Raw genomic sequence first — 14208 nt, 5'->3', positions numbered from 1 at the left:
CGTCTTAAAAAAAAAAAAAAATCGTAGTCATTAACCATAGCCTTTTAAAAGGCAAGACTCATGATAGAAGGATTTTTTGTTTGTTTGTTTGTTTAATAATCGTGTTGCCAAAAGGACCTTATTGCAAGTTAGGTTCATATGTAATGTTTTTCCCGCACAGACACCAGAGCATTGTTGCCTAATTCCCAGAATTGACTTATTCCTTCAGAGTCTTTAAACAGCTCAGTTCTTTTTTTTTATTTTTTGAGACAGAGTCTCGCTGTGTCGGCCAGGCTGGAGTGCAGTGGCGTGATCTCGGCTCACTGCAACCTCCACCTCTGGGATTCAAGTGATTTTCCTGCCTCAGCCTCCTAAATAGCTGGGATTACAGGCAGGTGCCACCACGCCCAGCTAATTTTTTTGTATTTTTAGTAGAGATGGGGTTTCACCATGTTGATTAGGCTGGTCTCAAACTCCTGACCTCGTGATCTGCCCGCCTCAGCCTCCCAAAGTGCTGGGATTACAGGCGTGAGCCACTGGGCCCAGCCTTCATTTTAAATTTTGAAGCTGTTTGGCCAAACTGCTTCTTATTTCCAACTGCTTGATTATGCTTGCTTTTTGGGAAAAGAGAGTATTTTAATATTATGGTATTTTAGCAGCACAATGTCATGTGAAAGTCATTGCTTAAGAAAAGTTTTAGGTGATGACTTTCAGGATAAGTTGATATTGATACAAGAGGTTTCTTTTAACTTTACCAGGTTCTTGACATTATTTTGAAAAAAACACCCAGTTATTCAGACAATCATTGAGGCTTTAAATTTTTCCTTAAGTATTACAGTTTAACATGTATTTTCATAAAGTATAAATCTTAATTCAAATAATATTAAAACATTTTTTCCTGTTTAAGTTTTTAAAAAATTTATGATACTCTCCATTGTTCTAAAAGTGTTTACAAGAACAGTTAAAGCATAATGCAGTAACATAAATTAGGAATGTTTGAGAAAGAAAAAAAGATAAACCAAAAGTTGGAACATAAAATGGAACAGGAAATAATAACACCTTTCCAAAGGCGAGTCCTGTGAGTGGATCACAATCTGTCCCTAAGCTTTCAAACTGCAGTTACAAATGAGAAGCCTTGCCAGATGTTTAACTCACTTTGCTGAAAGAGAAAGAGAATTAGTTATTTGGAAGAAATACAATTATTCTCAATACTAACACTGAAAAGTAATTTCTCTGTAGTGTTCAGATGTGACCTCAGCAGTATATAGGCAAGAGACACAACAAATTTCGGGGGGGTGATGAGTTTTGTGTTTCTTAGATTAAACCTCAGTAGAGGTTGCTGTTGTTAAAACCATGATACAGATTGAAAAGGATAGTCTCATTGCATATAGAACACATCCCAGTGGCTGCTCATGAAGTTGTGTAACTTACCCATGGACTTATGATGTCAGGGGAGAGAAATTTTATACCCAGAAATGTTTGTGGGGGAGATGTTTTCATTGAAAAGAATTTGGTCATTACAGTATAAATGCTTAAATTTTTTTAAGTTTTTGTCCTTGACTGTTATTCTGTGTAGAAATGACTAATAAAACATTGAAAACAGACTGAGCCTCAATGTATACATCACTGACTTTTTCGAATATGGGTGTCTAATATGCCAAAGTTGGTGATTACCCTTAAAAGCAGATTGTAATATTGTGAAATATATGTTTGTTCTTTGTTCCCATTTTCTGGCATGCAACTACTGAAATCCTTGGAATCTCCAAAGTGATGTGTCTTTTTGTATGTGAATGAGATTCCTGGTGGCCAGCAGCCCCTAAGTAGCCTCAGGTTGGAGCTGGTCATAGGAAAGACTAAGGCAGGATTAGAGGGTTGGGGCTTTTCAGCGCCCCCCTGCACCTCCCCAACTTCTGGGGAGGAGAGAGGGGATGAAGGTTATCACCAATGGCAAATGATTTAATGAGTGATGCCTTAGCAGTGAGGCTTCCATAAAAGCTCAAAAGGACTGGGTTGGGGAGCTTCCTGAAAGTTGAACATGTGGAAACTCCTGGATGGTGGTGTGTCCCTTCTCCCATGCTGTGCCCTATCCACCTCTGATGATGATCTTCTCCCATGCTGTACCCTATCCACCTCTGATGATCTGCTGTGCCCTATCCACCTCTGATGATGATCTTCTCCTACGCTGCGCCCTATCCACCTCTGATGATCTGTGCCCTATCCACCTCTGATGACAATCTTCTCCCATGCTGTGCCCTGTCCACCTCTGATGACAATCTTCTCCCATGCTGTGCCCTGTCCACCTCTGATGATCATCAGTATCCTTTGTAATATGCTTTATAATGAATCAGTAAATGTATTTCCCTGAGTTCTGTGAGCTGCACTAGCAAATTAATCGAACCATGAGGAGGGGTTGTGGGAACCCCAATTTATAGCAGGTAGTATCAGAATTGAATTGAATTAGAAGATACCCAGCTGGTGTCGGCTGCAGAATTCATTGCTGGTAGGGAAAAATCCCCATGCATTTTGGCGACTAGAGGTCACAGTAAGTGTTGTGTGTTGATTGTGTTGTGAGAGGACAGGAGAAACTCAGTTTTTGTTATATCTTTATACAGATTTTACAGAGACAATGTTATTCATTACGCAGCTGTTAGTTTGACTTAATACAGGGATAGATTTTGGAAAATATAGATGAGTGTGCCTCCTGTATGTCTTCCATGAATATGGCTTCTTGGAACTGAGCTTTTGCTGGCTATTGAGTGACAACAAGTTCAAGATCTCTCACTCCTTGGCAAGTTCATGGAAAACTAATAGGTGGTTGTAAGAGGCTAAAAGTCACTTCTACCTATGTTGGTACCTAAGTGAGATCTTTGGCTGGTTCTAGGAATCAAATTAACACAAGATAGATTAACAGGAGAAAAGGATACAGGTTTTATAAATTTTTACACATACATAGGGAGTACAAGAGAGTAAGGATGCAAAGAAATGGCCAATGCAGATAGGTTTTGTACTTTTTGGACAAGGAATAATAAATTTGTGAAGAAATTTGACAGGACAAGGGGATCTGGGCTAGGGACAGTAAATTCTAGAAGTCACTAGGAGATCTATGGTGGGGGTGTGTAAAGCTAGTGGAAGATAAGGGTTTCTTCAGTAAGTTTATTTGTACAGGTTCATTGCAGCAGCAGTTTCCAATCTCTGGTGATAAGGGTTATTTTCTCTCCCTACTGGAGGGAAGCCGTCCTCAAAGGAATTTTTATGGCTTGCCATCTGTAAGAAAGGACAGATCAGAAAGGCCTTTCTGCAACTAGTTTCTCAAGTACTTTCAGCTTGAAATAATAAATATGCCAAATTGGCATAATGTGGGGTGGATCGTCCTTAACGCCTTCATTGTCAGTAGTGGAATCACATGCTTTAACCAACAGTTGAACTCGTTTCATTATATGAAAATGGAGAGACCTAACAAAGGTGTAGGCTTGAGCAGTTAGTCGACACATCTCACCTCTACAGAGTAGAGAGTAGCAGGGTCAGACCTCTTTCAGAATAATTTTAAACTGAGACATTTGCTGAAGTTTTAGGCATGAAAGGCCCAGAATTGAAGCTTCAAGTAGCATGATTAATGTAAGTTTAGCCTGGGACATTTTTAAAAAAGCTTGAAGCACCTATGGAATACCAAATGCTTTGAACTTTAACACTTGTTTCTGACAATAATTAGATAGCAGAGCCATTGTTTAAATTATTAGTTCATATGGTAGGACCGTATTTTTTTAAAAGGGAATATTTACCTCCCTGTTCTATTGTGGGCTTGTTTACAGCTTATCCAAAAGTGGTATCAAATTATAAGGAACAGGTTAAGGAAAACATCACTATTCTATACCACTGAAAATTATTAAGTGATGCACAAAGAGATGGTTCCTATTGACATTGTCCATGGTCAGTTCCCATCAAATTCTGAAGAAGCATCAGTGCCTTGTGTTGAGTTTGTATAATTTAGCTTATAACAAATGCCTATCCATAGATTGAAAGATAAATATGGGTCCAGAAAGTGGTTGAAACAATAGCGTCTGGAAGACTTAACAGCAAAGCAGTAAAGTAGCATAGTGCAGTGGTTTTCAACTTTGGTGTACATCAGATTCAAGTATGATGCTTGTTTCAAAGTGCAAATTCCCAGACCCAACCCTAGAGATTCAAATTTCATACATTGAGTTGGGGCATAGGAATCTGCATTTTAAGTAAATACCCAAGGTGTTTCTGATGAAGGAGGCTCATAGACCTCCATGGCTCCGAAGCTCATTTCTCACAGGCTTTGTGAAATGTTGGTTAGGCTTCAAACATTTTTGTTTTCACATACCTTAGAAAATAAATTTTTAAAATACACAGTGGACTTAAAAAGTGAGGAAATTTTGACATGGTATAACATGGAATAAAGTCGAATAATATTGTAAGTCAAACCATCGTAAGGTGCAGACTTTCTGTATTAATTTGTGCCCTATGACAATGATGCATTAATACAAACGAGACAGAAACCTTTTCACTTGCATGAAGCAAGGCCCTGCTCCCACAGTATTTTTTGTGTTGCTCTCAAGGGGCGCTTCTACAGGAGCAGTGCATTCTCTCATTTCTTTAGTGACACTTCAGAGGTTTTAGCCCCCTTAACAATAAGCCACATAATGTTCAGGATGCATAAGAAGTGTGCCTTACGAAAGTAGAAGGGGGCCAGGCGTGGTGGCTCATGCCTGTAATCTCAGCACTTTGGGAGGCCAAGGTGGGCGCATCACTTGAGGTCAGGAGTTTGAAACCAGCCTGGCCAACATGGGGAAAAACCCCTCTACTAAAAATACAAAAATTAGCTAGGTCTGGTGGTGTGCACTTGTAGTCCCAGCTACTTAGGAGGCTGAGGCAGAAGAATCGCTTGAATCCGGGAGTGGAGGTTGCAGTGAGCCAAGATTGCACCACTGCACTCCAGCCTGGGTGACAGAGCAAGACTCCATCTCAAAAAAAAAAAAAAAAAAAAGTAGAAGGGGAATGTATGTGAGAAACAAGGTATGAAAGGTTTTAAGAAAGAATCTGGAAACTGCTTTATAACCCTCCATGTAGACATATTCCCTTAAAGTAAGGTTTTTAACTCCAAGCGTTTGTAAATTTGGATGAGGAAAATAATTTCATCTTTTTTTCCACTAACCTCACCTAGAAATTGAGCATTTCCTTTAATTACGACAAACCTAAAGTAGCATGAGCATCAACAGAAGTCAGATGTTTTCTTATCATATTACAGTTGTTTCAGGTATCTCAAAAGGTGGTTTGAACTGATTACTTTGAAATCATGACAGTTATTAGACATCCCCCTAGATTTTACTATTTACTGGGTTAATAAAGGAGCACATATAATTCTAGGGTATACATATTTTAATGTATAAAAATGTGCATTAAATTTTTAACCATATTTAAATATAACCATATTTAAATATACTTATCCTTAGTATGGTTATATTTTCTTGCTAATGCTGTTTTTGATTTATGCATTTAAAAATATTATCCTAAGAAGGGATTCAGCCTGACTTTACCAGGTGCTAGAGGAATCCAAAGCACAAAAACTGTTAAAACCCTTTTGTGGAAAGCCCTTGGATACCCTTAGGAGCATATGTATCCCAGTTTGAAGGCAGATGGTCTAGGGGATGGCTGAAGCCCATCAACAACACCTCTTAAACCATTAGTTTAGGGAACCCAGAACTTTCGTGTTTTGCCAAGCAATGAAAAATGTGAAAAATCACTTTAGCACCTGGGAGATGATTCTAGTTTAAATTCTGTGAGTTGGTGGTTCTAAACCAGAGATGTACATCAAAATCCTTTAGGGAGCCATTTTAAAATACACAGCTGAGCCTAATGCCTCAGGATTGCAGCTCAGCGGGTCTGGGTGGGACCTGGACCACGCTGTGTTAAAAGCCCAAAGGTGATTTTCATACAAACCCTCAAGAACCACTGTTTTAAACAGAAGGGCTTTGAAACCTTGTTTTATAAGAACTATTTTAAGTATGACTTTTTTTTTTTTTTTTTTTTTGGAGACAGAGTCTTACTCTGTCACCCAGGCTGGAGTGCAGTGGTGTGATCTCAGCTCACTGCAACCTCTGCCTCCTGGGTTCAAGCAGTTCTCCTGTCTCAGCCTCCCCGGTAGCTGGGGTTACAGGCATGCACCACCATGTCCGGCTAATTTTTTTGTATTTTTAGTAGTGACGGGGTTTCACCATGTTGGCCAGGCTGGTCTCAAACTTCTGACCTCAAGTGATCCACCTGCCTCGTCCTCCCAAAGTGCTGCAATTACAGGCATGAGTCACCATGCCCAGCCTTAAGTATCGCTTTTTAAAAGTTTTATGTTTGATCCAAAAACTCATGGCAGGAAATTGGGAAGATTTACTTTGTAGTTTGAAATTTGTTTGTTACTGTTGTTGTTGTTGAGACAGGGTCTTGCTGTGTCACCCAGGCTGGAGTGCAGTGGCACCATCACAGCTCACTTGCAGCCTCTACCTCCCAGGCTCAAGCAATCTTCCCACCTCAGCCTCCCAAGTAACTGAGACAACAGGCATGCACCACCATGCCCAACTAATTTTATTTTTTGTAGAGACAGGGTCTCCCTGTGTTATCCAGGCTGATCTACAATTCCTGGGTTCAAGAAATCCTCCCGCCTCAGCCTTCCAAAGTGTTGGGATTACAGGTTGGAGCCACCACAGCCTGACCTGTAGTTTGGAATTTGTAACCACTCAAAGCATCTTCTGTCATTGGGTGCTCAGGGAGAGGGGTTCTTGACCATCTCTGGGGACCATAAAACTCTGAAGTTTCATGCCCTGGTCTTCAGCTTAAGGGGCTAATAGCTTTCCTGAGATTTGCAAAGGTATGCATGATCAAAAAAGGGGAAGGAAGAATAGCTACCTATATGCTGAAAGAGCAAAATTTAATGGCAAAATGAACAAAAAGATACAATCATTAGACATACTAAGGAAACAGTTACTAAAACACCATTAATTTTATGAGAGAAGTGCTGAACTGTAGCTCTAATTATTTGATTTCGTGAACATTTTCTGCTCTATTATTTCCTGAATTTGTTTTTTTGCAATGTAAACACAGTACCATAGGTAAATGGAGTTGCATATAAGTGGTTTTAATGGTATATATTAGGGAAAAATGATAAAATATTAAAATATACTGCCTCTTAATTTAAAAGCAAAATTATCTTTAAGACTTTAAGCTTATTTTATGCTGCTGGGTATATATCTGCCAGAAATGAAATCAGCATGCGGAAGAGATCTCTCAACTCTGACATTTATTACAGCACTATTCACAACAGCCAAGATATAGAATCAACCGGTGTTCATCAACAGATGAATGGATAAAGAAAATGTCATATTTAATACCCAATGGAATGGTATTGAGCTTTAAAAAATAAGAAAATCCTGTCATTTAGGACAACATGGATGAACCTGGAGGACATTATATTAAGTGAAATACACCAGGCACAGAGAGGTGCCGCATGATCTTGTTGTTATGTGGAGTGTAAAACAGTTGAACTCCTAAGTAGAGAGTAGGATAGAGATTACCAAGAGATTGGGAAGAGAGGAAGTTAGGGGAGGGTTTTTTTTTTTTTAAGACCTTAAATATTTTATTTTTAAGATAAAATAATTTCATCCTAATACTGGGCTCTCCGGCATTTGAGAGTATTATATCCTTGGACCTCCATCCTCTGCTCACTGTCATAATTCTTAGATCTTAATTCTTACTAAAGTTTTATTTTCATCTTCTAAAATTACAAAGCAGTAAACATGTAATATACAAAATGTATAGTTTCCTCCTTGCAACAAGTGAGAAAAAAATCCTATTTTAACAAAAAGCATTTTTAAGTGAGTAAAGATGCAATTTTTCATTTACAAAATAAGTTAATAGGTTTTCTAGTTGGGTTTATAAAAAGCTGATGCATATCCTGTTCTTTTTCCCTATGACTGATGACATAACTTCTGCTTTTGTTCATGATGCCCTCTCCTTGGCAAGGAGTGCCTCCCACCCACATACCTACTCACTCTTTAGGACCAGCTCAGATGTCACCTATTCCAGGAAGCCTCCCTTACCTGTCTCTGTGTTCCCGTAGAGATCTCTATCACAGTACTTACTACATTACGTTTTAATTATGTATTTCTATGTGTGTCTGCCTTGGAAGACTTCAACCTCAGTATGATTATCTTTGTATTATTAATGTCTGGAACAGTGACTGCTCATTAAATATTGTGCTGAGTGATTATATTCATAGTCACCCGGCTCACACCTCCCACCCGTTTGTCATTGTACTTGTCTGTGATCATGCTACAGAATTCTGTTGTGGGTGAACTCACCCAGCAGCACAGCTATGGTGCTTTGGCCTTCAAGCTCCTGCTCTAGCCAACCAAGCTAACCTGCCCAGCTTTGGCCAGCAGCTCATTGTAATAAACTGAGTTCAAATGGAACCCAGCACTATTAAACTAGCCATCAGCCTAAGACTACCCTTCAAAGAAGGAGCGAGACCGGGCATGAAGTGGGCCCGTGAGCCAGCCACTCCCTGTGTAAATCTGTACTTCAGCTTCTCGCTCTCTTTTCACTGCAGTTTTATTGCTGTCTCACCAAGATTTCCCTTCTTCCAGGCCTTTACTCTTAAAGGAAAAAAAAAAGTTGCTTATCTTTGCTTAATTATTAACATAATACTGGCTTAATTCTGAACTAGGAGATCTCAAACTCTTTATGACAGCCCAGTGAATAAAGTGATGAAGTGGGAAACAAAATGTAGAGGGTCAGAAAGTGCATTTCAGTTTGTAAGATGAAAAAAGAGGGAAGGGTGGTAGAGCTGACTCATGTGACTGTAATTCCTAGAATATAGGAGCAGTGTGGCGTTATTCATCTAAGCGCGTCCTAGAGATTTTATACATCATGCACACATTTTTAGGTATTGTCTTAGACCGTTTATGCTGCTAATAACAAAAACCTGAGACTAGATAATGTAAATAACATAACTTTATTTTCTTGAGTTCTGGGGTCTGAGAAGTTCTAGATCAAGGTGCTAGCCTTCAGCGTCTGGTGAGGGCCTTCTTACTGCATCCTCATATAGTAAAAGGGGCAAAAAGGACAAGAGGACCCCATGCTGTGTCCTCATGTGCAGAAAATATGGGCAAGAAAGGGGCTTAGCTAGTACCCTTGAGCCCTTTTTATAAGGGTACTAATCCCAGCCTCATGACTTAATCACCTGAAGGCCCCACCTCTTAGCACTATCACATTGGGTCATAGGTTGGCAGATACATACATTCAAACCGTATTTTGGTTTGATACATACATTCAAACCATTTTGGCGGATACACACATTCAAACCATAGCAGGTATTAACCTATCAATAGTGCAGTTGAACATAAAATGAAGATCTCACTTCAATGAAACACAAATTAATATGATTTAAAACAGTTGCACATTGTAACTTTCTGAACACCTGTATTCTGTAGCCTGAATTTTGGCAGAGAAAGTGGTTGAAACATTTGTATCTACTATCAAATTACCATGATAATTGTTTATTGTTCTCTCTTCACTTTATACCTTTTAATTAAGCTGGGGGTTGGGGGGAAGGGAGGTGAGAAAGAAAAGGAAGAAAAATACAGTTTTTGTCGCAAGTGGATTTTGTATCATTTTCCTGAAGGTCTTGGTTCTAGAAATTCTGTAGTCTTGGTGACCTGTCAGTTTTTCTTTATAATTAACTGTGACTGTATTGTGTATTCATCAATATTATGAAATATTATGAAATAGTAAAACTCACTGTGACTGTATGCATGCTTGCCCACGCGTGGCTGAACTTTTACAAAGCAGTGAGGGAAGTTCTCCTAGGGTCAGGACAGGTCATCATGGGCACAAGGCCTCTCATTACTTTCTCTCATCAGAAAAAAACAAGTGAGAGAAAAAAAATGCACCTACACTCAGGTTCCTGAACCCCATCTTAGTTCTTCTCCAGATAGCCCAGCAAGTGAGTTTGTCTAATCCCTTTCTCAGGAATGAGCATGATGAATGAAAACCAAGCAAATTCTGGAGTCGAACCAGGTTAGATTCAGACCCTTTCTGACCACTTCTAATTTCTGCCTCTGTGTTTTCAGTGTTAAATGTGGATGCTAATTGCCTGCTTTGCAAGGTGTCTATAGAAATTAGATGTGATTATGTAAAGCTTCTAGCACAATGCCTATTACGATAAATGGTTCTCACAGTTGCTGATGCTGCTGTTACTATGTTTTTTCTCTACAGTAGTTCTGTCTTATTTTCCTTTGAAAGCTGGAGCTGTCTGTGCTTCTCCTATTTTATAGTATCAGTTAAGGGTTTTCAGTGGTGTTTTGGTGTGGTGGAGTTATTTCTTTTACTCAGGGAGCTTTTCTTAGGGAGTTAATCTGATACTATATTAGAGAGAGTAGACTCTCTGTAGACCTTCCTAGGCAAAGTTGAATGAGTATTTGGATGTAGCACATACATGGACACTTCTAGTTAGAATATGAAGCATGAATTTAGGTAGTCATAAAGGTTTATAATAATCTAAAACCAATTACTAAGATTTATAACCAACATTTTGAACATTGAGTAGTATTAGGATAGTTTTTCTAGCTTTTAAAATCAGCCTAAGCTTTTTGGTAAAGTCAAGTTTTGTAAAATGGGTGAAGATTTTTTTTTTCCTAGTGAAATAAGAATTGGCAAACTTTTAAAGCTGGTTTACGATAATTTCCAGATGAATAGAAACTAAAATGTATTGTCAGCTGATGTTTCATTGTAGGCTCCTATGAAATGACTGAATTCTGTCTGTATCCCTAAAAATTGAGATGAAACTGTCATTCTTATACATAATCTTAGCTAAGTGACCTCAGATTGAAGTAAATCAGATCAATATTGGTATTTTTATAACCCCAGCATAGATGGTGCCTGTATTGATTATTGTAAGTAGCAGGGCACTTTCGGGAGCTCCTGATGGAACCGGTGTTAGCTGTACCCTAGGGAAAGAATTATGCAACACAGTGATAAGTCATCTAACTAAATTCATAGCAACAAATCTATTTGGCTTCTAGGCATCTCTTTGAAGTGGGCCAAGGGCTTGGGGATGGAGGTAGGAAACCTGCATTGGTTCCTGCCGGGGCTTCTACCAACTCTGATGGGAGAGCCTCCTGGGCTGGCTGAGATGGAATTGCTTCTCTAGCCCCTTCACTGGATACAAAATAAAGGAGTGAAGCTAAAGGGTGGAAGAACACTTCCTGGCCACCTTCACGCCTGCTTCAAAGCCAAGGTCAGGGGGCTGTTATACCAGGGAGTGCTGAGAAGGGCAGAAAGCTGAAACTGCTCCTTCCTCCGATACAAGAGGCAATGAAAAACTGGTGAAGGTGGCCGATGATGCCCACAGGGGAAGACAGCACTGACTCCTGCTTTGTGGACTCTGCACAGATGCTATATTAGAACTCAAACTGCTAGTGACTTTCACATTTGTATCATTTTTAATGTGGTCACATTAATTTGACCATTCTGCAGGCCAGTGTTCATGTATTACTTTAGTGTGATTTTTCTTATGATCAAAATCTTCTAAAATCAATTTGGTGAGCTATAGAAAGAGAAGGTAAATTTTCCTTGTGTGAAATACAACTCTCAGTAATAAGACTGCTATTAGCTATTCTTTGAATCTTTCCTGTTTTCAGAGATGGCTTTGAGGTTTAATAAATACTTGTCCACAGTGATTTCAGATGATTTTTAAGAACTCATCTTTTAGGATGGATGTGGTAGCTCACACCTGTAATCGCAGTGCTTTGGGAGGCCAAGATGGGTGGATGGCTTGAAGCCAGGAGTTCAAGACCAGACTGGGCAACAAAGCGAGACTCTATCTCTACAAAAAATAAAAATATCAGCTGGATGTTGTGGCATGTTCCTGTAGTCCCAGCTACTTGGGAGGCTGAGGCAGAAGGATCACTTGAGCCCAGGAGTTCGAGGCTGCAGTAAGCTATGATCACACCACTGCACTCCAGCCTGGGTAACAGAGTGAGACCCCATCTTTAAAAAAAAAAAAAAATCATCTTTTAGAATATTTAAAAAATAGAACTTTTTCAGGCATAAGTAGTTACCTTATTTTTGCTGACAAATATTTGTTACAAAGTCAAGTTTAGCCTGCCAGAAAATCTTGCCTAGAGAAAATTGAATAGTTTATCCAAAAGTATTAATTGAGGAACACAGGTGTGATTATTTCTAAGACATTTTAAAAATCTAAATAGTTAACCACACATATTAAATGAACTTCCTTTCCTAACTAGCTCTAAAATATGATTACCTATGATCCTTTCCTTATGCCTATTTGCCATACTCTTATAGTGCTTGTTTTTTAAAATAATAATTCTCAATAATAAATGGGTTATGTTCCAGAAGTTCATATATGAATTAGGTGTTTGAAAGCTGGGACACATTTGCACATTATAAAAATATTTCATGTATAACTGATAACCCACAAAAGCCTATTTAACCTATTAGATAGTAATGTTATTATAAAATCCCTATGAAAAACATGTGTATAGTTATTCACCCAATTTGTATTAAACATCTATTCTACTTTAATGGTATAATGATGTACCTTCAAATTGCTCAGATTCTACTATTTCTAAAGCAGGTTTTCTTGCTTCCTCAAATTTTTCTCCCTACCCTGTCCTCAGCCAACTATAATTTTTCTCCTTCTTTCCTCTACTTGGAAACCAAACTCAGTATCAAAACCTCTCCCTACCTTACTATTTACAGAAAGCACACACCCTTTTGAAATTTTTCTAAGGTTTTCCACTTCTGTAAAATAAAGGACATAGGATAACAGAAAAAGTGTCATGAAGTTTAGGGCATATGCATCATTTGTAAACTAAAAAGAAAACACATTGCCATGTCACTTACTTAGAATACTCCTAATGCATCTAGGAAAAGTGGCAGTTTGAGGGGGCACTCAAAGACTGAAATGAGATCTATTCACATTTGATTAGAAAGCTCAGACAGTTCTTTAGACATCTTCCTTTCCGATAATGATTCCTCTACAATTCTGGAAACAGGACTGGTTATCTAGGAGCAGGTGTTTCAATAAAGAAGAGAATGGGGAGATAGGCCAGGCCTGTGACAGCCCTTTGCCCCCTGGGACGCAAGGAGAGTAGCTGGGTTCCTCCCAACCTCCACTCAGTAATTGTTGGCTTCTTTTTTCCTTCTTCTAGGAGAAGGTATCCATGTAGTTTATCCATTCAATATCTCTCAACCTCCTTCTGGCTTCTCCTACTATTGTAGGCACCAACCCCCAAGTGGATGTTGTAAAGTATGAAATGGTCACATAAAATGCATTCTAAAAGTATTTAGAAGAAAAGAGCCTATTTGTCAGCTTAGTGTTAGCTGAGCTCTTCATGACCCCCAAAGGGCCCATAGCTTAGGCAGATTTAGAATTTGTAATTGGATTCTCTTGTTTGAAATGGATGTAGCATACTTTAAATGAAAATACTTACTGGACAGCAAGCATGTAAATTGCAGTCTGTGGACTCTGCAGCTATGAATGCTCCCTGATGGGCCACTCAGTCAGCCTCTCCTCCGACCTGCTACTGTTTGCCAGGTTGTGGCGCCTGCCACATAGCACACTTTGTGCCTTTGAGAGTTGGCAGAGCTTGTAAAACCACTCTTTTGTTTTGGTGTTTTTCAGACTGGGATCCTTTCCATTAGTTTGTTTTGTTTTTGTTTTGTTACTACATTTAGATGTTCAATAGGTTCCAAAATTTGAGATCCCTTATTTGGGGACATATTGATGTGGCAAATTAGAGATTGAACAGCTCAAAAAAAAAAAAAAATTCCTTGCCTAGTAGAAAGATGATTTAAAAAAATAAAAGGAACATGTTTTAAATCTCAATTTTCTTTCCCACATGAGTCAGAGGAATGCTTTGTGATTTAAATCCCTTTTTCCTGGCCTGATATGGAGTCTCTGCTTGTTACGCTAAGCATACCAAAGCCCTTGCTTGGTCCTATTTCTTTGTTCTCCAGGATGATAGCCTTAATTACTTAATAGATTCAATTATATTTTCAGATCACAAATTACCTGTGAAAGTCACTAGAAGTTTGAGTTCTTTTTTTTTTTTTTTTTTTGAGACGGAGTCTTGCTCTGTTGCCCAGGCTGGAGTGCAGTGGTGCGATCTTGTCTCACTGCAACCTCTGCCTCCCGGG

At 38.9% G+C, this 14208-nt stretch overlaps 1 protein-coding gene across 39 annotated transcripts in view, besides 1 other annotated feature; it reads left to right on the top strand.

Annotated features, from left to right (window-relative positions):
* The window catches only part of MAP7 (microtubule associated protein 7), a 207689-nt gene that overhangs the window by 101986 nt on the left and 91495 nt on the right, over positions 1–14208 (top strand). The window lies entirely within an intron of this gene.
* Positions 13052–13221: an enhancer, noted in NCBI's record as "experimental_90180 CRE fragment used in MPRA reporter constructs". NCBI's record gives its function as "activates a minimal promoter by MPRAs in K562 erythroleukemia cells, with activity observed for both the introgressed and non-introgressed 6:136756439 variant alleles {active_cell/tissue: K562}" and the evidence as "EXISTENCE:reporter gene assay evidence [ECO:0000049][PMID:34662402]".

The sequence above is a fragment of the Homo sapiens genome, chromosome 6 (assembly GCF_000001405.40).
Source record: "Homo sapiens chromosome 6, GRCh38.p14 Primary Assembly".
NCBI classification, from domain to species: Eukaryota; Metazoa; Chordata; class Mammalia; order Primates; family Hominidae; genus Homo; species Homo sapiens.
This window is presented reverse-complemented; position numbering and strand designations above follow the sequence as displayed.